Source organism: Homo sapiens, chromosome 20, assembly GCF_000001405.40.
Source record: "Homo sapiens chromosome 20, GRCh38.p14 Primary Assembly".
NCBI classification, from domain to species: domain Eukaryota; kingdom Metazoa; phylum Chordata; class Mammalia; order Primates; family Hominidae; genus Homo; species Homo sapiens.
The window spans coordinates 9,399,636-9,424,344 of record NC_000020.11 but is presented as its reverse complement, the minus strand read 5'-3'; the positions used below and the strand labels follow the sequence as shown (position 1 = coordinate 9,424,344).

Sequence of the window (24,709 nt, the reverse complement as noted above, 5' to 3'; positions counted from 1 at the left end):
GTTGATAGCTGAGTTCAATTTAAATCTTTTAGCGATACTATTGATAAGATATCTATGGTTTCACCTTATTTATGTTTTTTTCCCTAGTCTGATTGTCAATATAAATATACCCTTCACAAAATGTGTTTGTAAAAATTGATAAACAACATAAAATTATAGTATTTTAAAATAAGAAAGGACTTTAGAGATCATCTCGTTTTGTACTTTCATTTCTTACTATGAAACCTGAGGTTATGATGTATTCTTGATGTATTCAAGGTAATCAGGGTTGGCAGCATTAGCAGGAATAGACAGTATTTTTATTGTTTTTTAAAGCATGGACAAGATGTTTTATAATCTTATAATCTAGGACCTCATCTATATCATATTCCGTACCCAAATGTTTATCTTACCTCCAAATCCATCAGGCACATATGTTTTAAGAACAATATTGCAGAAAATTGTTGGTAGTGATAATGGTTTATTTCCCTCATTTCGAAGGGAAATGTGTCGATATCCGGCTTGGAGGCCATCAAGCGGGAGGATCCTCTGGCCAATCAGCTTGTTGTTATCATCATACACAGCTATTCTCAAGACAGCCAGGTCCGGCAGGATCACCTGCAAACAGAACAGGACTTTCACTGATTTTTCCAATGCAGCGCCCAAGAACCATGACTCTAAGGAGTGTGGACCAAATCCATGCTGTTCTTAAATGTTCCCTGATGTTGAAAGTAAGTCCATGATCCATCTGCATTCCCCAAAATGTACTGCATGAGCTACAGTGCCCAAGACACTGAGAAAAGCAATTGGAACATGTTTCCTGGAAATTATCTCGTGAAAAATGTTAGATGAAATGAATGTTAAAGATTACCACTTCAACCCTTGTGATTGATCCTTGTCCCCACCCATATAATGGATGAGAAATAAAGCCACTTTCCTTGATCTTAGACATATCAGTGACAGAGTGGGGCCTGGGAATTGGGGATCTAATCCTGTGATCTAATATCTGGCATATTGCTGACATCTATATTTGTTTGTTTTTAAGAATACGAAAGTATCTCTGAATAAATAAAGTATCTCTGAATAAATAAATTAAGTATCTCTGAATAAATGCTTCATGCATAAGAGATAACTTTTGTACATAAATTTGGGTCCTCCTTGTTTCTTGTACTCCTCAGTTTCCAGCAAATGTTGGGATGTTAAATAGAGTAAGATGCGGTAGCTAGAAACATTAACATACTTTGATTCTAAGACACCTACTCCTGCTATCCCCAAACGGAATAAATGAACATAAAATCTGAGTTCAGATAGCAGAAACCTGATTCAGTTACAAAATAGCAACATTACAAAAAGGGTATCCAATGTGTTTAATCAGGAATGCCTTTTTATTGGCTAAAAGCAACCAGGACATCTTGCTTGATCTGAGTGCTATGTTTAAAGCTAGACAATGGACTGGTTGCCTATTTACATCTGAAGGCTATAATTTAATTCCAGCTTAATGAAGATGAAGAGGAGAAACCATGGTAACTTAGCCAATTTCCCTCTCTCTTGCTCCTTATGCAGTGAATAGAGGCTTGGGATTTGCCATTCTTGCCATGTGAGATTAGTGAAAAATACAAAAATGACAAGAAAGAAAACAAAGTTTTTAAAGCACTTGCTAGCAATGAAAAAAACGATTTAACTTCTGAAGAACAGAGAAGGACTCAGAATTGGCATCTCGTTTCTAGTGCCAGAACTATTATATATAAACACTAAGCTGGGTATTTTCTCATTCATCCAAAACAAAGAATGCCTGAGTCAACTTTCTCAGCTTCTAGAAATGTGAGTAGGGATTATTCACTATGCCAAAGAACACTAGCCATACTGGTAACGGATCCAGCTATAACAAATTGGAAATACCAGGGAAGGAAAAAACCAAATCACAGCTATGCATGTAATTTACACCATATCCTGACAGGGGCAGAGAAGAAGACAATGGGATGCGAAGATTGTGTGGATCCCAGCGTAAACTTAAATGTCAAAATGGCCTGTTTCATCAAACCTACATTGATCTCCCTTCATTTGGTTTCTGTAAGCCAGTTACTCTATTCTGAAATGGATAATCCCTATTTTGTTAAGGAAAGAAGCTGATTATCTGTGTTGCATGATGTACAAATGGAGCAGAACCAGCTGGAAAACTTGTGCCTAAAGAAGCAGCAAGAAATCATTGTGGTCAGGACAACAGAGTAAGTAAGAAAGGAAAGTGAACATTCTTGGAGACAGCACTGCCGGTGTGCGGATTTTCCACTGCATCTTCAATAGACAAAAAATAAACCAAGGGAAAAGGTGAATAAGAGATTAACAACCGAACGTTAGAGAGAATGGCTGTGATTGTTTTTAGGATCCAACATACGGTATTAGGAGAAAAAAATAAAACACTAACAACAGTACAAGAAGGATAAGACCTGCAAGTAGGCAACAGGTGTCACTCTTTCAGGAGAGACAGGACCATGCCAACTGACCCATGTAGTGACATCTATTGACCAAAATTTTGGAGTGCAGCATCTTACCTGACTACTTGGCTAAAGGAATAGTGTAAGTTACCAGTAACTTCCAGGGTAGGGAAGAACTCTCTAGTGTACGATGGTGTCCACCAGCAAGGACTCATTCTAAAAGATGGTAAACCCAGAGCTGAGGCACTGCTGTGCAGGAGATGGGCTCTTCCAAGGAGGAGAGGAGAACCAAAAGGAGGCAGGGCCAAATAGAACCAATGATCCTATGACAGCTACAGAAGTTAGCCATTAGGAGAAGAGAAAAAGAAGATGTTGTCGGTTGAATAAGTGCCCCTGTATCGTGTAGCGTCTGTGAACTAAAACATGGCTCCCAAGTTATTAGAGTAAGTTTGACGTGCTGAAAATGTCCTACCTTCCGAAATACAAATGACTCTTCATTGTAAACTGGATTGAGTCCATTATTCATAACCATGCGAGTTCGGAATTCCTTACGTATGGTGTCAGTGGGCAACCCATACATATCCACCTCTACGTAGGTGCCAATTTTCTTATCTGATAAGAATTGACCTGATATAACCTGTAGCAGCACGAACGAGAGCAAAGAGAAGTAAGCTCTGTGTAAGCATCAGTAGCAAAAAATAATCAGGAAGTAAGAAATTCTGTCTTTTGGGTGGGAGCAGGAATTTCAATTATCTATGGCAATAATGTATTCATTTCTATCAAACCAAAACATTATCGAACAACTACTATAGGCAAAAAAACCCCAGCTGTTTCAAGCAGATGTTCTACCTTCTAGAACTGTCTAGAAAAAAAACAAAGAAAAAATATATATGAATCATAATACAAATAGTGTCCACGGCCTCTTCATCTCACCTAAGTGTCTACACCTATGAAATGAAGTGATGAATTCAGGTATGTCCTAAGACCCTTCATAGCTCTGAAATTCCATCATGCCATACTTATTAATGAATTCTTTTAGAAGTCTTGAAAAGAGACACACAGAAAAGTGAAGCTAGAATTTGTCTGTCATTACTGATATTGACACTGGTCAGCTAGGACAGTTTTATAATGTTAGTCTATCTACGATAAAGCTATGGAGAGATGATTTTTCATTTAGTGTTTAAATGACTATAGCCACTTATTAGGGTTTTTTGTTTACATTATTTTCTAGCTAACAATCTGAAACAGCTTTTTTGAGGTATATTTGACATACAATAAATTATATGCATTTAAAATGTACAATTAGGCTAGGCACGGTGGCTCATCCCTGTAATGCCAGTACTTTGGGAGGCTGAGGCAGGTAGATCACCTGAGGTTAGGAGTTTGAGAACAGCCTGGCCAACATGGTAAAAACCCATCTCTACTAAAAATATAAAAATTAGCCAGGTGTGGCGGTGGGCACCTGTAATCCCAGCTACAGGTGCAGGAGAATCACTTGAAACCGGGAGGAGGAGGTTGCAGTGAGCCGAGATTGTGCCACTGCACTCCTGCCTGGGCGACAGAGTGATACTCAGTGTCAAAAAATAAAAAACAAAAAAAAAATGTAAAATTAGATCAGTTGGGACATATGAGCACATCTGCGAAACCACCTCCATAATTAAGATGATAAACATTTGTATCATCACCTGAAGTTTCTTTGTGCCCTTTTGTAACCCATTCCTCCCTGCCCTTTTTTCAAAGGCCATCACTGATTTACTGTCTGTCACTATAATTTGCATTTTCTAGAATTTTGTATAAATGGAATCAAGTAGCAGGTACTTTTTTGATGGTATCTTTCACTTTAAGTAGCTAATAATTTTACTAGTGAAAAAATGGGTCTCATTTTTTAAAAAGGGGGTGGAATCTTAAGTCAAAGTTGTGAGCAGCACATGGATCTTGCAATTTAACATTCAATATTTTATAATTTCTTTCAAGGACCACTTGTGTATACATTTATACTACCTTGTGATGAGCAGGGGCCTTACCTGCACTGAGCAAGTGGCTGCAATAACACCATCAACAGGAGTTTCAGAGAAGGGGTCAAATGTTCGATCAGGCCGCCTCATGAAATCTGGTTTGAGAAGGTACCTGGTAGGACAATAGCATAGAAGTTTATTAGTAGGTTTTACAAAGACTAAAACACTCGCTAGTTGAAACAATGGATGCTTCCTTTTCTCCATCTGTAACACAGGAGCTAGGATTTTAGGCAGAGGGTCCTAAGGATGGAAGAGAATGTGCCCGCCCTTATGCACAACCTTAAAGAGCTGCAGCCTCAGTGGTATCCAGGACTTCCTGATCCTATCATCTTCTCTGGAACTTTTTTATCCCCTGGTCACCTTTAAATACTTTTCTTTATATGTATAAAATAAAATGCAAAGAATAACAATGAAAAACCAATTATATTAGCTATAGTTATCAAAATATAAAAATATGTGATATTCTACCTCTGTATTAATTGTACTTGTAATAATGCATTAAATTATAAGATCTAATGGTAAGATCTAATTATGATGACAATAATCTAAAGTACAAAAATATTTTGAGACAGCTGTAACAATAGTAGTGAAATATGACAATGTCTGTGATTTACATTGGTGAGAGAGTCACGGGTACCACTAATGTGACTGTGGATTGTTGTCTACATTCACAATCAAAGGTAATTGACATTTCAGCTAGAGGTAGGTGAAAATAAAAATAAATTATTTCTCCATTTCTAGTAGAAACAATCAGGCAAGAAAACAAATTAAAAGGCATCCAGATTGGAAAGAAGGAAGTAAGCCTATTTCTAGTCACAGATGACATGATCCCATAAATAAAAAAAAACTCTAAGGAATCCACTAAAAAAACTATTGGAATAAATAAATTCACCACTATTGCAGGATACCAGATAAACATATAAAAAGTCAATTGTATTTCTATACAATGACAATGAACATGCAAAAATGAAATTAAGAAAACAATTCTATAACAACAGCAAAATATAAACCACTTAGGAATAAACTTTTTTAAAAAAAATAAGTGTCTACAATTTGAAAACTACAAAACACTGTTTAAAAAAATTAAAGAAGAGCTAAATAAATGGGAAGACATCTTGCCTTCATGGGTTGGAAGACCATATTGTTAAGCTGGAAGTATTTCTCAAATTGATGTGTGAATTCAGTGTAATCTCTATCAAAATCCCAGCTGACTTTTTGGTAGAAACTGACAAGCTAATCCTAAAATTCATATAGAAACTCAAGGGATCAAGAATAGCCAAAACAATGTTAAAAGAGAGAACAAAATTGGGTGTCTCACACTTCTTGATTTCAAAACTTATTACTAAGCTACAAGATTTAATCAAGACAGTCTGGTACTGACATAAAGAAAAACACATAACTCATTGAGACAGAATCAAAGTCTATAAATAAATCCACGTTATCTATGGCCAATTGATTTTTGACAAGGATGCCAAGACCAATCAATGGGTGAAAGAATAGTCTTTTAAATAAATAGTGACAGGATAATAGGATAGTTCCATGCAAATAAATAGATAAATAAATAAAACTGGATCTTTACCTTATACCATATACAAAAATTAGCTCAAAGAGGATAAAATAACTAAATGCAAGAGCCAAACTACAAAATTCCTAAAAGAAGCCATAAGGACAAATCTTTATGACCTGAATTTGGCAATGGATTCTAAACATGATACCAAAAGCACATGCAATGATACACTGGATTTTCTGTTGAAAACTTTTATGCTTCAAAAGACACTATGAAGAAAGTAAAAAGACTAGTCACAAAAAGGAAAAAATTTGCAATTCATATATCTGATTAGAGGCCTGTATCTAGAATACATAAAGAATAACTCATCTAAATAATGGTCAAATGATCTGAACAGACATTTCTCCAAATAAGATATACAAAAAACCAAGAAGCACATAAAAAGATGTCTAACATCATTAGTCATCAGAGAAATGAATATCAAAACCACAATGAGATATCACTATGTATACACTAGGATGACTGTAATTAATGAGTCAGATAACAATAAGTGTTGACAAGGATGTGGAGAAATTGGAACTCTCATATGTTGCTAGTAGGAGTGTAAAATGATGCATTCACTTAGAAAGACAGTCTGGCAGTTCCTCAAAGAGTTAAACATAGAGTTACCATATGACCCAGCAATTCCATTCTTATGCATGTAACCAAGATAAATGGAAAGACATATTCATAGAAGAACTTGCATATGAACATTCATAGCAGCATTATTTGTAATAATCCAGAGATGGAAATTACCCAAATGTCCATCGATGAATGAATGTATGGCACAAAACATGGTATATCCATACAATGGAAAATTATTCAGCAATAAAAATAATAAAGTATTGATACACATTACAACCTGGATGAACCTTGAAAACATTATGTTAAGTGAAAGAAGCCAGGCACGAAAGGCCATATGTTATATAAATTCATTTATATCAAATGTTCAGAATAGGCAAATATAGAGACAGAGGGTAGATTAAAATTCCTATTGGGAGATGAAAGCTAAACGATACAGATTTTGAGGCGATGAAAATGTTCTGCAATTACCCTCACTACACAATGTCTGCCCCTCATGTCCACGGGGTAGTGGTCATATAATCACAGATTCCATAATTTCCCTGAAACTTGTGTCAAAAAACTTAAAAAAAATTAAAAAATTATTAGAAATAAGTATAACCATAGATTTAAAGAATCCATACTATGAGCAGTACATCAATGAAAATAAAAGTACTTTTTTCCAAAAGTAAAGGTTTGCTTTTAAATGTAAAAGAATCAAAATTATGGGAACTCAAATCTCTAATTTTTCTTAGAAGCATAACTTTTATTAATTTCAAGTCTAGATGATGTCAACTTTATTATCTGTTAAAATACAACCCAAAAGGGATCCTGAGTCATGATATTTTTTCTTTAAAGTTTAATGTCACTTTTCTTAGTTTTGAAAAAGTCACCATTCATTGTTATCTTCTAAGACTGAACAAAAAACAAAGTGTTAAAAATATTCCCTTACATTTGATAGTCCAAAAAGGAATCTTTAAGAGACAACACTGATTTTTTATCAAGAATATAGACATTTACACAATTGTTGAAATGTTGAAGGTAATTTTGAACACTCTTGTCTCCAAGAGAATGCAACCCACAATATTAATATAAAAGCTCTCTATATAGAAGAGATTATCTTCTGTATTCATGGAATTTTAGATTTGCAGCTTTTTTTGTGGCTAGAGTTGGCAACTAGAAAATATGATGATACAGCAAAAGGTAAAGAATCAGGATGGAAAGTAGGTGAGTAGCTACAATACTACGCCTGCATCTCCGAGGGAAGCCCACCAGCTTTCTCTGGAAGGAAAACCGACACAGACTGTGAGGGGAGGTAACAATGGTGGGTCTGGCTTTCATGACACAGGCAGCATTTGGACCCCAGCTGTGGCAAATGAGGGATTCTGCCTCCCGAGGAAGGTCGGGACTTGGATGAATACAGGACTGGAGTCACCTTTCCAGTTCTGAATCTCCTTGGGAAGTGAGTGTCCAGAGATTCCTCACTTTCCACAGTCCTTTGTTAAAGATCAAGAGCCCTTCCTACCCACCAAAATAAGAAACGGGATCACAATGACATCTCAGGGTCAAAAGCATTCTTCCACATCCCCCCTTTCAAATCTGCATAGAACACTCATCTCTGAAGGAGTGAATTGATCCAAAATGAGAAATGGCAGGGGAAAGGGGCAAGAAACCCATATCCAATTCTCCAAAGCAGGCATGCTCCGGTGAAATGGGTTCATTTTGTATACTTGAAGAGAGTAAAACAGAGTATGCAGAAGCTTGTCAGGACCATGAGATAAGCCCTGGCCTGGGATAGGACACTTAGCAAGCTTTCTTTGAAGGTCAAAGGAGCATCTGTTCTGGGTCCAAGGCGGTCTGAGAGAGCAGCAGAGGTTGCCTCTCATATCCCTGGTGGCTGTGAGGGTGCAGGGGGCTGGGGCATTGATAGGGAAGCTGAAGCCAGAATCTGGCACCAGAGCTGGCTATGTGGATGTGCTAATTGTGCAGTTCTACAGGGCCCTGAACTCAGAAGGGCCCCATGCTTGGTTTAATGCTCTGCATCCACCATCCTAAATTCTCAGGAGCCCTTCATTTTCATTCTGCATTGGGCCCTGCAAATGACATAGATGGTCTGTTTGGTGCTTTCTGGTACAGAAAATGAACTCATTCCAGACATCTAGGTCTGTGCGGTAGGCACAGGCACAAGGCCAAAGCCAATGCCAAGACAGGGATCCAAGGATTTTCTGTGGACTGTGTAAGGCCTTGGAAGGCAAGCGAGGGAGAGAAGAAGGGTTGCTAACCAGGTGGGTGGATAGGAGCACCAAGAATGAGAAAATGGGGTCATAAGGAAATGCATCCTATTTCATCATACCTAAGATGCCATCAGTTGTCCAACATGCCATTATTTTATTTAGCTGCAAGAAAGCAAAATGGCTGCTGATGATAACTGCAAGTTGCTATGCTATACAGTATCCCCCTTTATTTGCAATTTTGCTTTCTGAGGCTTCAGCTACCCCTGGTCAACTCTGTTCCAAAAATATTAAAATAGAACCTAATATAAAAATTGGAAAATAAAAATTTGAAATAAAAAATCTATTTTAAAAGATAGAAAACCCAATAGGAAAATGAGTAGAAGTTCTTCACAAAACAGAATATCCAAATAGCCAATAAACATAAAAGAGAAAAAATTAAGATATTTTGAGACCACATTCACCTAACTTTTATTACACTATATTGTTATAACTGTTCCATTATTAGTCATTGATGTTAATCTCTTACTATGCCTAATTTATAAATTAAACTTTATCACAGGTATGCAATGTGTAGAACCACAATATATATAATACATGTTGGGTTTGGTGGTTTCAGGCATCCACTGGGGTTCTTAGAACGTACGGCCTGTGGGCAAGGGAGAAATGCTGTATAAAAAACAGCCTCTGAATCATAAAATGTCATACCATTTTGATATCAATCACTCACTTTCCTATGAAAGTCTAAAAAGATTTTAGGTATTAATTTACACTATTTTGTTTCATTTGCAATTAGGGAAATGTCTTCCATTTTTCCATCTTCAAAAACGAGACTGTTAAAAGCACTGCTCACTTTCCTGGTAACATTCACACTTATTGGGCCCAGTGGTGCGTCCTCCCACAAGATCAGCCAGGGAGCACAGAGGGTTTTCCCAGGAGGGTATCTGACGTTTTGCTACAGTTGCTAGATCCTGGGGGTGTTTGTGTACTTTGCACACTGATGTTCTATATAAAACAGGGATTCTTTGCCTCCACAGGCCTAAAGGGCACAGAATGCCTCTTTAAGAAATGCAGTCCTCAGACTCAGCCCAAAGGGGCAGTTTTTAAAAGTCTTTGCAGGTGGGTGGGAGAACCACAAGGGTGACACGGTGAGAACCATGCAGTGCCCGAGCACCAGTGACAGGAGCTCCTGTGCAGCACCGGGCCCCACATCTACCATCGCCATGGAACACAGAGGCATGCAGGTGACGGCAATTTCTTCTCTTTTCCCTGTCACTGACAGCCTTTGCCACCAGCTGGGTGTATGGGAAGGGGAATTAGGAGATTACAGAGTCAACAGCATCGCTGATACTTTATCAAGCTGGGCTGCCCCACTGCACAGGCTATTTTTCAGCTTTTCTGGTGAGGTGTATGCTTTCAGTCACATAGCGTCCAACACATCAGCACAGAATTCAGGCTAAAGTAGCAACAGTATCCTTTTCTGTGAAGGTATTTTAAAATAAATGAACGCATTTACAAATGACCAGTGAGGTCAGGCATAGTAGCTCATGCCTGTAATCCCAGCACTTTGGGAGGCCAAGGCAGGCAGATTGCCTGAGCTCAAGAGTTCGAGACCAGTCTGGGCAACATGGTGAAACCCCATCTGTACAAATAAAAAAACTAGCCATGTGTGGTGGTGGGCACCCCTAGCTATTTGAGGGGTGGAGGAGGGAGGATGGATTGAGCCCAGGATGTCAAGGCCTCAATGAGCCACGTTTGCACCACTGCACTTGAGCCTGGGTGACAGAGCGAAACCCTGTCTTAAGAAAAAATAAATAACGGTGGAGAGAGTGAGACACTGCACGTGCTAATAATGGCTAAGCAGAAATTCTAGGAAAAACAAACAACATAGGATTGTCAGGACTTTTTTTTTTTTTTTTTTTGAGATGGAGTCTTGCTCTGTCACCCAGGCTGGAGTGCAGTGGCACGATCTTGGCTCACTGTAAGCTCTGCCTCCCAGGTTCACGACATTCTCCTGCCTCAGCCTCCCAAGTAGCTGGGACTACAGGTGCCCGCCACCACGCCCGGCTAATTTTTTGTATTTTTAGTAGAGACGGGATTTCGCCGTGTTAGCCAGGATGGTCTCGATCTCCTAACCTTGTGATCTGCCCGCCTCGGCCTCCCAAAGTGCTGGGATTCCAGGTGTGAGCCACTGCCCGCCTCGGCCTCCCAAAGTGCTGGGATTCCAGGTGTGAGCCACTGGGCCGAGCCGTCAGGATTTTTTTTATACAGAAACAATACTCCCTGCATCCGGCCAGGCTGCCAGGATTCCTCATGGCATGTTAGACAGCTGATGGCATCTTAGGTGTGATCGCTGAGGTGGGCAAGGAAAGTGCTTCAAGCATCACCGGGCCACTGCAAGTTTTCAGAAGTGAGCACAGCCATGCCCGACGGGTCCTGTAAGAGCCAGGAGTGCTGAGGCTGACTCCTTGGGGTCCTTAAAGGACGACTGAACAGAGCACTCATTGAATTTTGCAATGTCTGTGTGTGTGATTGATCACAAGGCCTTAAGCTTTTCTTAAATCTCACTTTTGCACAGAAATGTGCAGTTCCTGAAGTACTTTCGTACACTCATTCAACCTGACTGAGCTGTCGTAAACTGTTAAAGAAAAAAATGTACACAAACACTTGTTAAACATGGTAAAGTGGACTTTATTCAAAGGGGTAGGGAGCCATGGTGATAGGTATAAGGGCTCAACCCTTACCCCAACAAGCGTACATGGAGATTTAGAACCATGGAGTAAGGTGAGCGCCAGCAGATGGAAAATTACTATGAGGAAACATCAAGGATAAGGACTTCTGGCCAAACTGACTTGATAGGATTATTGCTGAAGGCAGGCCAAAGTGACAGGATATCCAGGGTGGTCAGATACCAAGGGCTGGGGATTTTCACTAAACTGAACTAGCACGATTGTTGCTCAGACTGGATTCTACAGTGACTGAGAGGGAAGCCCAAAGGTGGGTCTCATCAGAAAGGACTCGGTTTTTGTCAAAGGACAAAGTCTTTTTCAGTTCCCTGTTTCGTTCTAGAAAAAAGACATTTTTTTTCCTTTGAGTACAACAAACCCTGTGCGACAGGTGTCACCGTCTTCATTTTATCAAGCAGAGAAGAGAGGCTCTGGGTCTAACACACCTGCTCTAGGCAATACAGCAAGAACTAGGAGCAGCTGGGAGCTGAGCTCAAACCCTGATCTTTAGACTCCCAGCCTAGGGCTTTTACTGACAGTCCAGGGCTGAACCCCTGGGGCTTGATGCCTTGGCCCACTACTTGGGAGAGGAGGAGGTCTACAAAGCAATTTATGCGCAAAATCTCCTGGGTTGGAACACTTGGCATTAAATAACAAAATTGCTTTCACAAAATTCTGAAATATGAATTCAGATCTTTCTCTTCCCAGCTACACAATTTATTTTCTTCCAAAGCACACAGCAGAGGAAAATGTAGGGCATGCTCCAGGTATGTAAGTGGTGGGTGATTTGGGGAATAGCATAATCACTGTGTTTGCAGCCACATTGGCAGAGAACCATTCACCAGGCTGGCAGAGGGAGGCAGAGTGCATGCTGAAAAGTCATTCCTAACTCACAACCACTGAAAAATGTTATCTTGACTGGCAGTGTTCAGTGATAAAAAGATATCCAATCAGGTGAGCCACCATGAAGAAATTCCTAATAGCATCATTATGACGGGATAGTTTTCCATTGGATTCCTCTACAGGCCTTTGGGCAGTGGTCTGGAGTTATTAATATTTACTTGTTTGGGGACAGATGCATGAGGCTGAGGTGGGGTGAGGGGATGACCACATAGTTGTGTTTTTTTTTTTTTATCTCAAGAGAATTCTAATTTTATATTTTCATTTAACCTTTCAGTGTTTCTGTAGAATTAACATTTCCTATTTCACTTCTTGGTTCACAGTTTTCAAGAGTGCTATTTAAGGAAACTAGGACAATATTCACAGCATTATTCTTTGATAACTGCTACTTACAAGACACAAAAAAGAATCAGTAGAGGACAAAGGTTTATTCCCAACTGAATGAAATTCAGCTCGACACCCACAACTTCATTACATATGAAATTAACTTCATTATTTGATTTGTCCTAGGTAAAATGCACATATTTAATGCCTACATCTCCAGTTAATGTCCAAGTGTGCAGGGATTATTACCTGTCCCAGACATAAAATCCTCCACTATTGATTTTAAAGTGAGAGGATTAAACTGTAGCATATGTATGAACTGCTTCACTTGTGATTTAAAAAACCCAAAACCTGCTTAGTAAAATGGGGTAGATGAAGAATGTATATGTGCAAATATTCTCTAGGTATTTCATTTCTTTCTATTCCATCCCTCAAACCCAGCTTAAATTCTGTAGCCCCTAATTGAAAATGACATGGCTTCATTAGAGCTGTAGTATGGAGTTCTCAATCTAGGTGAAAACAGTTTAAATCATATTACTCACCCGCACGATCCATTATACTCAAATTTTCCCTGATTCAATTGCATCGCTAAATCTGTCAAGAGACAAAAATAATTTAGCATCTTGTCTTCCTAGACAAAAAAGACCCTGACGGGGTGATTTGAAACAATAGGTATCAGATTGCTCCTAGGCCCACAGGTCCCTCTTTAATACTACAAGGTTCTGCTTGGTCTATTTAAGGCATACTCTCTTCCATGTTGAATTGACCTCATGTTTCATTTAAATTAAACATAAAATGTGTTTTCATAAAGATCATGCTAAAGGTCACTTTTAAAACTGGATTCAATATAGGAGTCACACCATTGTTTGATGAGTATTGAGAGTAGAGATATCCAACCTGCTACAGTGGGAGAGGATGGGTCTCAGGATCCCTGGGCAGAGGAACCCTGGAGATACCCGGGAGGGTGAATATGAAACTTGATTTAAAAGACTGGAAAATGAACTAGGTAAGTATCGCATAAAACTTGGTGGCATGCTTCCAGGATGGGAGGCAGGGGGAATTACTCTAGTGGGGTCTACACTGGCAGCACATGGCTTTTGACTTCTGTCTTGCAAGTGAATAACATTTTTTCTTTCTTCCCATCCGCAAAAGAAATGGGTAAACTGATGGATATTTTTTCCTCTTCAAAATGTTGTGTTTAAACCTAATATTATAGAATAAAACATAAGCTGGGTTAGCCATTTAATCCATATTATGGACTCACTGACAACTGAGAACACAAGTTGGGCTTTTTTAAGTAAGTGAAGTCATCAGAGCCTTGTTACTGGGCCCCAGCTAGAAACACTCAGGATTGTATTGGTAGCTATCACGTCACAGTCTAACCTAGCAAGCACTGTGGGGACCCCATGCAGAATGGTGACTCCAGTAGGAGGAGCTTCTGGTCACTGGGGAGGCTCCTTCAAGGCATGAGAAGCACAGTCAGCTCACACTCATGCCAAAGGAATGAAAGTCAAAGGATCTTCCACTCAATCCACATAGCAGGGAACGAAGTGACAGGGATTCTTAAAATACAAAATAGATTTTAAAAAATCCTCAAATTGGGAAGCATGGGCAGTTCTCTTAATAGCAAAGAGTTGAAGGAAAAAAGAGCTTTCTGGTTTTGTTTTATTTTACCAGTTGTAAGAACCATGCTGTAGAATTGACCATCTACAGTGAAGAGGGTTTGTGGCATATTTCTATCTATTCTATTTCTATTTTGCTACCTCTAGTCTTGATACTGTGATCCTAGGCTCTTAAGCAAACCTCAAAAATTTTAAAAATGTGTTTATCAATTATAAAAATTTACTCTTTTCCTTCCAGAAAAAAAAAGTCATTATATATTGGAAACCTGACTTTGAGTACACTTTGGAGGACCAAGTTATAGATTAGTACCTCTTCAAATATGTAACTCCTTATATACCATTTTAGTGGCATTTACTTCAAAATATTCTGTATTTGTTTAGTGAAGTGCCCCTGCATCAGTCATATTTGCTGAATGTTCACAGTGGTCAGGGTGTTTGCCAAAGGAGAAATGAGTCGCTGTTACTGTACAAAGATACTCAAATTCTTTTCACTTAATTCTGCCTCTGGAAACAAAGATAACAACTTTGATCCAAAAGGAAGAAAAATGAGAAATATTTTGGAATATGGGATAATGGTTAGCAGGAATAGTCATGGCATTTATGAAAGGAATTAAATTCCAATCACAACACATTATCTTCTACCATTGTTTGCTCTATTTTGGTTTTTTTTTTTTTATTTCTCACCATTATATAAATCCAATAACACATTGCTTTGCCATATGTCTGCTTCCTTTAAAAAATGCCCACAGCCAACTGATGGGAAGTGCTGGCACCATCCTGTCAAAGTGTTCTCATGGAATTTGGGGTCACTGGACATCAGCTCCTACCTGGGGTTTGATAGTTCAGTGAAACCATCTGGCAGCCAGCGTTCCAGAAAATCTGAGGCATGTAATTACTGGAATCGACTCGGCCTCCCTTGGGGTAAATGCGACTCATTTGCCGTTTGTTATAACTGTAACTTATTAAGGAAAACAGAAAAAAAGAGTCCTACAGCAGAGAAAAATAAACAACAAAGAGCTAAAACAACAAAGGTCTAGGCCAACAATGACAAACAAGTAGACAGCACAGAGCAGATTTCACATTTACAAATGATGCTTAAGATCACAGTTCACTGTGTGGATTATAAAAACAATTTTCATTTGGGCAGATTGTCACAGCTGCCATGGTCTTTCCCACATATCATTTTATGAACTCCACCACCAGAATGAGATATTAGCCATTTATCTATTTCAGAGGCTCTTGCCAAACCAACGTGAGTCAACCACTCATTCCACTTGATACATAAGGATACTTGACAAATTCAATTGCATGTGTCTTCAAGTAGCCAAGACCGACTGATTCATTAAAAGAAGACATGTTATAATGAATATTGCGTTCTGTAAAAGAAAAGCAAAGATGGATTCAGGAACTCTGCCATCAAACCCTCACCGAAAAACAGCAATAAATAAATGCAATTACACCCTGAATCATGAGGCCTTGGAGGCTAATGCTACATTATCATGTCAGTAGCTCCTACTTTCATTGACATCCTGTGGATGGAGACATCTGTCTTTTCAGCCACCACCGAAATATGAATTTTTGATGATAATGATGATTACGATGGCTTCTCTAGCCCAGAAATGAAGTTTTTAAATACTTCTTATGTTTTTTTGAAAACCAGCTTTTGATTAAAAGGAGTCTTGTGAATGCACTTGGGAACAGAAGAAGCTACATGCCCAGCACTAACAAATCCATAGTCTCTCATCGCCACCTTGTGGTTGAAGTCGTGAATGACAATGTAATGTCACCACATACCAAGGTGGCTTCTATGGTCTGTGAAACAAAAATAAGGTGAGGTGGAACAGCCCCCATGCCCACAAAGAAAAATGGCAACAAATTAGATAAAAGCTCATCAGCACCATAAAAGAAAATCAAGCAAAAAAGGCGACTGCATTTAACCTTTGGTGTTACCTTCTGCCACATGGAAACCTTGAAACTTTACAGGCTGGGCGTAGTTGATCATTGTGGACAAATATGGATGGATATTAGTGGTAGCACCTACATATTTATAAGATGCCATCCACGCCTGCTCATCTTCTACAGTGACCAGGCCCTACAAGCACAAGGAAGAAAACATATAAGTTGATGACTTCAGTAGGACCCACGGATACGTGCTGCAGATTTCCTTAATAAAGATAATTGCACACACACAAATTGAAAGGTAAAGGCTTTTTCTTCCTCAATTATGCTAAAGGATACTTTAAGAAGTTAGTGTCTGTTGTAGCTCTGAATAATGCAAAAGGAGGTAATCATAAAATATTAAGCTTATCTTACATTTGTAGGACATTTTTAGATTTTTAAGGGACTTTATTCAAGAAATTACTGGCCGGGAACGGTGGCTCATGCCTTTAATCCAGCACTTTGGGAGGCCAGGAGTTCAAGACAAACTTGGCGAACATGGCAAAACCCCATCTCTACTAAAAATGCCAAAAATTAGCTGGGTGTGGTGGCGTGAGCCTGTAATTCCAGCTACTTGGGAGGCTGAGGCAGGAGAATCGCTTGAACCCAGGAGGCAGAGGTTGAGGTGAGCTGAGATTGTGCCACTGCACTCCAGACCAGGCAACAGAGCAAGACTCCATCTCAAAAAAAAAAAAAAAGAAATTACTATATTGGACCTCACAGCAATGCTATGAAATAGATATAGCATCATATTTTTACAAATTGAGGCACAACATCAAAAATAGTGACTCTCGAACATTAGCGTGCATCAGAATCACCTGGAAGACTTTTTAAACTAGAACAGATTCCTGGGCCCCACACTCAGAGTTTCTGTTGAAGTGAGTCTGCAGTGAGGCCAGTCATTGCTGTAACTAGTTCCCAGGTGCTAATGATGCTGCCTCTTTGGGGACTATGTTTCACTGTAGCACTCTAGAATGTAAGCAACATACATACGTGGTTTATAGTATTTAAAAAGCACTTAATCTTAAAAGTAACCTAATAACTTGCTGCATAGGACATATTGAAACTGCATTACTTTGCATACAGAAAAAAGAAAACAAATTAGTTTATTTATTGATAGAAAAAACAACAATAAAACCAACAACAAAAATACCTTCAAAAGTGATCAATATTTTTGCTGAGAACTTTGCAAAGCTAAATTTCCTGCATAAAGTGAATCTAGTTGGATAAATTCCTTAGTTGGATGATGTAATCCATGAGTTAAAAAATGGTCAGATGCTGGGCGCAGTGGCTCACGCCTGTAATCCCAGCACTTTGGGAGGCTGAGGCGGGTGGATCATGAGGTCAGGAGATCGAGACCATCCTGGTGAACACTGTGAAACCCCATCTCTATTAAAAATACAAAAAAATTAACTGGGCATGGTGGCAGGCACCTGTAGTCCCAGCTACTGGGAGGCTGAGGCAGGAGAATGGCGAATGAAGTGAACCCGGGGGGCAGAGCTTTCAGTGAGCGGAGATCACGCCACTGCACTCCAGCCTGGGCAACAGAGTGAGACTCCATCTCAAAAAAAAAAAAAAATGGTCAATTTGTTTGTCTTAACTGATCACTTAACAATCTGAGCATTCTAAATTATCAAACTGATTTCACCAATAAAAGCCTGAAACAATAATCAAGTAATGTAATTTGGTTTTGTTTTTGTTTTTATCATTTTCTTAATGTGTCCTCCTGCTCCCCCACCAAACAACGGCCATGTCCGTTCCTTCCATGTGTGTTTAATAATAATAAATACCACCAGTGCTATGAGCTGAGCACCAGGATGAGTTCTTGCACACACAGTCTCATTACTGTCTGTGATGTGTAGTGAGGATTAGAGTCCTACCCACTGACCACATGAGAAGATTGATGCCTTGAGAATTAAAATAACTTAGCTAATAAATGACAATGACCAAATGTCAATCTGTATACTGTTGACCCAAATTATGAATTATGAAATTCTAGAACAAGAGAGTAATGTACTCACAAATATTTTGGGACAGGCCTGCGACCATATTTATTCATAATTCTTTCAAGTTTAATATTTAGAGGGTGAGAAGATACGATCTCAACTTCAAATAGGATAGGACCCCACAGGCAGCAAGGCAGTATTTTCCGAACCTCTGAAGTATGAGAATGAAGTTATTAGGCAAACTTCTGCCTGTGGCTGTCAGCCTCACTGTTGTAGGATAAACCATAAATACTTACTAAATAAAACCACTGTGATCACTTGAAGAACTTTGAAGAGGATGAAAGAAAGTGAAAATGTAACTTTACCTTTCCTACAATAAGGCCAATAGCTAATAACATCAAATAATACTCTTAGAAGTTATGCAGTGTAAAATTAATCAGTGATCTTCCAGAATGTCAATGTAGTGGGAACTAAGATCATCCTTTCTATTATGCTATAATATGGATTTGATGACCTATTCACTCATTTTTATTTTCAAATTCAATATGCTGATGATCATGTAGTTCCACTGCAGGAATGAAATCTCTAATTCCAGTGAAGAAAATGCCTTACTGCATTAAATACCTACTTTTAGAAAATCATCTTACTCATCTGCCCTAGTTTTGTGATTTTTATCAGGATTTAATCATTTTTTCACCACAACTGATTCCTTCCTTTGAAGATTTTTTAAATTAGATGCATCTGATTTAAAATGTGCAAGGGAATTATTTTGTTACCTTTTTGTTGTTTTCATGTTCAAGGTCATCTGAAGCCTAATTAGAGAAAGGAAATAATTTGTTTACTTCTCTAAAGGGCAAAATTCCAAATTTATTAGCCATACATACATAGATATTTAAATAAGTGTAGGTAAACTTGTTATTCTATTTATTTGCTAAGGTGGGACATTACTGATGACAAAAAGCCATGGATGGCCTCACTGTTTTATGCACCAGAAGGGCTAATCTTAATGCTCTTTCCCTCCTTCGTGGACAGTCTTTACCTACTTAGATGTTTTATTATAATTATTTAATTAGTGCTTTAGTCATGGGGCTTAGGAAAAGCAGCATGAATGGTCACTCTTGAGTAACTCAGCATTCATGTCTGGGTATTTGTTATGGACTGTTTGCTGGTGCAGCCCCCCATACTGTCCCCAATTCATATACTGAAACCTTAATTCTCATGTGATGGCATTTGAAGATGGGGCCTTTGGGAGGTAATTTGGTCATGAGGGCCAAGCCAAGAGAGAGCTTGCCTCCTTATTCTCTGTCCACCACATGAGGACATAAACACGAAGAAGGCCCCCCACATTAGGAACTGATTGCGTGGAACCTTGATCTTAGACTTCTTAGACTCTAGAATGGTGACAAATAGTTTTCAGTTGTTTAAGCCAATGGTATTTTTGTGATAGCAGCACCAACTGACTAAGACACTAAGACAATATTGATGAAGGCTTTAGCAACTTTTTTTTTTTTTTTTTTTTTGAGACACAGTCTTGCTCTGTTGCCCAGGCTGGAGTGCAGTGGCACAATCTTGGCTCACTGCAACCTCCGCCTTTTGGGTTCAAGCAGTTCTCCTGCCTCAGCTTCCTGAGTAGCTGGGATTACAGGCGCGTACCATGGCGCCTGGCTAATTTTTGTATTAAAACAATACTCTTGAGTCTTAATAGATGTTCAATATTCTCAGAGTAGTCACAATTCCCTATATCAGAAAAGATAGTGTGTAAAGGCAATATTCCTTTGGCTTTGCTCATCAGACAAATACTCTCCCCTCTTCCTATCACCAAATGTATCTGCCTACCTGCATCTTCATCCACTGTCTTCACTAATCAGGTGTTCCTGCTCCTGTGAAGGGCCACACCTTTGCACCACAGCAATCCCACCCTCTTCCACCTCCTCAAGGAATTCCAGGCAGTTATCCCCTCTCTTTCCTGCAAAACTAATCTCTTCCTCTCTACTGCACCACTTCCAAGTTTTCAAACACACTCCAGATTCATTCATCCGAAAAAGAAAACACTCCCTTGACTCCTCAGGTGCCCTTGGCCACCAGTCCATTTCTTGCTCCCCTTCACATCAAAACTTCTCAAAAGCATAGTCTCTAGTCATTCATATCTGTGTGATCCAGTGTCACCACCCTGCCTGGCACTCCACTGAAATGTCTCTTTAAGGTTGCCAACGACCTCCATGCTAACAACCCAAAGGACACTCTTGAGTCTTCTTACTTAATCAGTCAGTAGCATTTGTTAAATTAAGTTTAGCCTAAAGGTGTCTCTTTACCTATTCTAAAGGTTTTTTCATAAACTTTCACATAGTAAACTGTAGACTGAATGGGTGTGTAAACAGACTGGAACCTACTCATGTGCCAATCACTGAGTTTCAGCCAATCAAAGGTGGCCAACTATTCAACCTCTGTTCAAATAAGGCAAATAAGCCTGTAACCAATACAGCTGCTTCTGTACCTCACTTCTGTTTTCTGTAGGTCACTTTCCTTTTTCTGCCAAAAAATCTTCCACCACATGGCTGCACTGGAGTTTCTCTGAACCTCTTCTGGTTTGGGTCCTGCCCAATTTGGGAATTGTTTTTTTTGCTCAACTAAACTCTGTTAAATTTAATTTGTCTAAGATTTTTAACATATTCTACAGTCAACCACTCAGTCCTTCTGTTAACACTGTTCTCTTTCCTGGTTTTCTTGGTGTCACTGCCTAATTTCCCTCCTACTTCTCTAGCCATACCTTGCTCTTCTTTTCTGGCTCCACTTTTAACTAGGGCTCCACTTGGGCCTTCTTTTCCACCTTTCCTTGTGAATCATCTCAGTATTTCCATTGTTTCAAATACGATCTTTTGAACTCCCAACTTGTATCTCTAGCTCAACCTGTCTTCTATATACGCGTGATAATGACGCCAGTGATCATGAGGATAATGACAATGATAAAGATGAAAAGGATGATAATATACCAGCAACTAATACCTTTACAGGAGTTACCATGTACCAGGCACCACGCTAAGCTCTTGACATGTCACAAACCATCCACTCTTCACAGTGACCCCATGAAATAGGTGTTATCGTCTTCACTTTGCAGATGAGGAAACTAAGGTACACAGAGGTTAAGTAACTTACCCAAAGTTAGACAGTTAGGAAATGAACCCAGAGAAAGAGTCAGATGGCAATGCTATATGAACACCTCCCCTTGAATACTTCACAGGCATCTCAAATAGTCATCCCATTTGAAACTCCTGAATTCTTTCTCTTTCGGTCTTCCCCATGCCAGTAAATGGTACCATCACCTACCCAGTTCCTCAAACAAGGACACTAGAGGGTCATCTCACTTCTTCTTTCTCTCTCATTCCCACATTCCATCCATCAGTAGGCTGTCCCATTTCTCAATATGTCTTGAAGCCACTCAGTCCTCTCTGATGCATTGTCTGGTTTGACCATCGGGGACTCTCGTCTGGCCTAGAGCAGCAGCCTGTCCTCACTGCTTTTCCTGCTTCCACTCCTGTTTCCTCCTAAACTAGTCTCCATATGGCAACCACAGCAATCTTTTAAAACTTGAATCAGGCTACACTGCCCCCTTCTCTAAACTTTTTCAGTAGTGTCACATTTCACTGAATATTTGAATTTCTCATAATGGCCTCCAAAATCCTACATCACCCAGTTCCCACCTACCTGCCTCATCTCGTCTCACTCCACCCTCACTCAAGCCACTCTACTCACAGCCCTTGCTGTTGTTACTGTGGTCCCTCCGCATGGAAAGTGATTCATCAACCTCTGTGCATGGCCAATTCCTCTTGACCCTTTGCGTTCTGGTTTCCTTATTCTTTCTACTTCATTATTCTTCAGCATGCGTGTTTATGTTCATAATTGCACTCACCGTAAGTTGTAATTATATAGTTATTTGACTACTTGCTTGTTTGCTGTTTCCGATCCCTTTCCCTAAACTACAGGGGGCCATGAGCTGCCTAAGGGCAGAAGGCAAGTGTGTTTTACACTTTTAGGTCATTATGGCCTAGACTATGCCTGACAAAAGGTAAGTATATGAATAACTATTTTCCTTGGCTGAATATCTGGAAACATTTTTATGCTTACTGTACTTTAGGGGGAAGGTATATAATTAGCAGGACTAGTTCTCAAATGAGGGCTAGACTCGGGATGTTCAGGGGTCATTTTCCTGATGAATTCAAGATTAAATCTTACCCCTGGGATGCTGTCATTTTCTCCCTCCCCAGCTGCAATAACACAATAAATGATAATATTTAGAGGACACTGGCCAAATGGGTAGTGGTTAACACTGGCCCTGACTAATGAGTAATTTAAATGTCCTTTTAAATTTAATATTGTGTATGTGTCAAGTTCTGGTCACCCAGCACAGACTCGTATCCTAAGCAATTTAGAAGGGGAATTATAGGTTACTTTATTCTCTTGTGGTTCTCACATTTCCAAAATTTCATAAATAACAGCTGCTACCTCTTGAGAGTGATGAAAGAAAGGGGACTCTGACCTTCTTGACGCTATTTGCAACAGCTTCCTTGTGACCCAAGTCATCAGCAGAAAGTTCATTTCCAAATTTGAATTCGGGGTGAGCTTCCTCCTCTTGGTCAGCTGTGTGAAAGACAAATGGAAAATCCATGACACCAAACCACTGCCAAGTAGTCAGACCTTGTTCACAATCTTGGGTAGAACATAAGCACTTTTAGAGAAAAAGGATGCTAAAAGAAAATGGGGACATTGATATATGCAGTATTTTTTCAAGTAAAACTCTCACTAAACTCTTACCTATTCAACGTCAAGGAGCACATCTTGTTATGTATTATTTCTCCTGCTCCTAAAATGTGGTTTGAAATGCTTGATGCTTAATAAATTTTTTTTAAGTGGATGGCTACTTCTATTCTAGTATACTAATTCTAAAAATGAAAGCCTCAAACACTGCAGGAATATCTATAACTCATAAAAAGGTGTTTTGATCTTTCATGACATCAAGAGCAAATAAGAAGATGCAAGAAAACAAATACATCGGATAATTTTGAAAGAGACTAAAATGTCCACTTGAATTTTATGGGCATAATGACTTATAGCTTGGAGTGGTAGAAAAAAGAAAGGCCTCAGAAGGATTGTGCTACTCCTGCAAACTATTTGTCAAACCTAGCATAGGTTTCAAAGGCTCAGGGCTCATTTGTCAGGCTCAGGTAGGAGGAGAAGTGGAAGTGGGTGCCAAATAAAGCTGGTGTCCCTGGAGCGTGGTCTAGTCTGTGAAAGGAAGTACACACACTGTGTTCATTGGTCCAGGAAAGTGACAAGAATGCCAGAATCCACCCAGGATGTTCGTGGGGAAAAAAAAGAAGTACCTGCTGGAAAATGTGCAACATGCTGAGGTGAGATTTGGATTCACACAATCACTATTTGCAGTAATTCCCAGATAAAGAATTTGCCTAAAATCTAGCCAGGATCAGGAGAAACCCACAGACATCAGGATGAGGACAATATAAATCCACATGGTCACACCACAGGGCATGAGGGAACGTTACTGTAAAAACAAAACAAAAAAACCCACTAAAATAATTTCTGAGAAATTCAGAAAGGAAATGAGTAGACCCATAAGAATGAGATAGATTTTTTTAAAGCATGTTTAAAAGTACAAAGGAGAATGAAAGAACAGGAGTAAATGAAAAATGATTTCACTGATTCTAAGATGTACTTTTTTTGATTTAATATTTCTGATATTGCAGTGTGTTCTTCAACTGACGGTTTTTTCCAGTGAATGGAAACTACTTTTTCTTTCTTAGTCATAATAAAACAGTGGTATCTTTCAACTGGTAGTATCTGGATTCAGAATTTCTAGATAGACTGTTTTATTTTGTGAAGTATCTCTCCAGGCACAGGAGGAGGGTGAGGGAAAGAAACAGCCACCTTCCTCTTCTGGAGCTAACAATTCTGATGAAGGGATATTCTAGAGGCAGACGATTAAAAAAACAAAATCCAAACAACAACAACAACAACAAGTGGGTAATTGTAAGGCTTAGGCAGGAAGAAAAGGATTTGAGGAAATGGAATACATCTTAAAATAATCTAATCCAGCATCTGTCTTTACTTATAAACGAGGAACTAGATGCAGAGATATGATTTGACTTGTCTGAAATCACACAGCAAGATAATGGATCTACCTGTCTCTTGAATTCTTAACATAGTTCTTCCAGGACTAGGTTTCCATGACCTACAGTCAGTAACCAAGATTTCAAAACTTCTCATGTCACTATTAAATTTTCATTTAATTTATTAATTTCATTTCATTTAATTTAATTTATGTCTAAACTGCCAATACAGATGTAAACCACTTGAAGGCAAGGGGCATACCCCAAACAAGTGGTGGAGACTTACTAACCACCTTAAGAGAATTGTATGAATACATGATCACTTTCTGAGTGTGCAGATATGCACAGACACACCTATAACCACATA

General features: G+C 39.1%; 1 protein-coding gene across 20 annotated transcripts in view; it reads right to left on the bottom strand.

Moving 5' to 3' along the window:
• Window positions 1-24,709, bottom strand: part of PLCB4 (phospholipase C beta 4) — a 412,131-nt gene that overhangs the window by 56,464 nt on the left and 330,958 nt on the right. For 13 of the 20 annotated variants that reach the window (XM_024451898.2, XM_005260724.3, NM_001377142.1 and 10 more), the window contains 9 exons: window positions 22,755-22,855; window positions 18,997-19,032; window positions 16,287-16,428; window positions 15,628-15,712; window positions 15,164-15,288; window positions 13,257-13,308; window positions 4,436-4,538; window positions 2,884-3,048; window positions 393-597 (listed from right to left, as the gene is read on the bottom strand). In XM_024451898.2, the coding sequence (XP_024307666.1) occupies window positions 393-597; window positions 2,884-3,048; window positions 4,436-4,538; window positions 13,257-13,308; window positions 15,164-15,288; window positions 15,628-15,712; window positions 16,287-16,428; window positions 18,997-19,032; window positions 22,755-22,855 (1,014 nt within the window). Of the gene's footprint in view, window positions 1-392; window positions 598-2,883; window positions 3,049-4,435; window positions 4,539-13,256; window positions 13,309-15,163; window positions 15,289-15,627; window positions 15,713-16,286; window positions 16,429-18,996; window positions 19,033-21,223; window positions 21,340-22,754; window positions 22,856-24,709 lie in introns of those variants that run through there. The other 7 variants (NM_001377134.2, NM_000933.4, NM_182797.3 and 4 more) reach the window with 2 other exon arrangements.